At 57.0% G+C, this 1,457-nt stretch overlaps 1 annotated feature.

Moving 5' to 3' along the window:
• Positions 117-186: a silencer, noted in NCBI's record as "silent region_16714". NCBI's record gives its function as "represses an Ori minimal core promoter by ATAC-STARR-seq in GM12878 lymphoblastoid cells {active_cell/tissue: GM12878}" and the evidence as "EXISTENCE:reporter gene assay evidence [ECO:0000049][PMID:35858748]".

Genomic DNA, 1,457 nt, shown 5'->3' with positions numbered 1-1,457 from the left:
GACAATGCCGACTCGTGGCGCCCTTTATAATGCCGGAGCCGGGTGCCACATCGCAACAAACTGCACACTCATTGGCTGCTCAAGTCCGTCACTCAACCTAGCTTCAGCGTCCCATTGGCCGCCACGGCGCGCGCGCTCTAGACCTGGGCGGGCTTTGTCCTCATTTTAGAACGCGCGCGAGTCCGGCCGCTACGGAGGGCTCCCGAAGCCGGGCGGGACGGCGCCGGGTCCAGGGCGGCGGGCAGCTACAGCACATCGGTGGGAGGGCCTAATCGGATTGTAAGCTCGTCGAGGCCGCTGGTCTCTTGCTCTCGAGGACTCCATCCCAGCATTGGCAGCCTCCGCCTCCCCATGTCCCAAAAGAGGAAACTGGGCTGGAGAAAGTTTCGCAGCCCAAGGACGCGTGGCTGGAAGTGGCAGAACCCGGGCTTCCGAGGTTGGGCGAGTGGGGTCCTCCAAGGCCCTCAGCACGGGTCGGAGGGATTGGGACTGAACCCGCCATCCCCCTGGACCTTGGTGCCCTCCAAGCCCCGCGCTCGCGCCCTGTCCGTCGCCTCCCCCAGAGATGCTCTGCAGGGACGATGAGACCTTGGTGTTCCCCGGTTCTCTGTCCCCTGGCACCACCTGAACGATTGACATCGCATTTGTACTTTTGTTTACTTAAATTTTTTCCTGTAAATCATTTGTCTTTCTTTTTCTTCCTTTTTATTATTTTTTTTTTTTTGATGGAGTCTTGCTCTTGTCGCCCAGACTGGAGTGCAATGGCGCGATCTCGGCTCACCGCAACCTCCGCCTCCCGGGTTCAAGCGATTCTCCTGTCTCAGCCTCCCGAGTAGCTGGGATTACAGGCATGCGCCACCACGCCCGGCTAATTTTTTTGTTTTTTTAGTAGAGACGGGGTTTCACCATGTTGGCCAGGATGGTCTCGATCTCCTGACCTCGTGATCCGCCCGCCTGGGCCTCCCAAAGTACTGGGATTACAGGCGTGAGCCACCGCGCCCGGCCTTTTTTTTTTTTTTTTTTTTTTTAAACAAATACGGAGGCCGGGCGCGGTGGCTCCCGCCTGTACTCCCAGCACTTTGGGAGGTCCAGGCGGGCGGATCACGAGGTCAGGAGATCGAGACCATCCTGGCGAACATGGTGAAACCCCGTCTCTACTAAAAATACAAAAAAATTAGCCGGGCGTGGTGGTGGGCGCCTGTAGTCCCAGTTACCGGGAGGCTGAGGCAGGAGAATGGCGTGAACCCGGGAGGCGGAGCTTGCAGTGAGCCGAGATCTCGCCACTGCACTCCAGCCTGGGCGACAGAGCGAGACATCGTCTCAAAAACAAAACAAAACAAATACACCACTCGTGAACTCACGAGGTAAAGGACAGGGTGGGGGCGTTGTTCTCTTCCTAATACACAAAACTCCTTTATATTATCTCCTTGACCACAAAATTTTAAAGGCCTCGGTAA

The sequence above is a fragment of the Homo sapiens genome, chromosome 5, assembly GCF_000001405.40.
Source record: "Homo sapiens chromosome 5, GRCh38.p14 Primary Assembly".
NCBI classification, from domain to species: Eukaryota; Metazoa; Chordata; class Mammalia; order Primates; family Hominidae; genus Homo; species Homo sapiens.
Note: the sequence above shows the minus strand (reverse complement) of the source record. Positions and strands in the feature narration are given on the sequence as shown.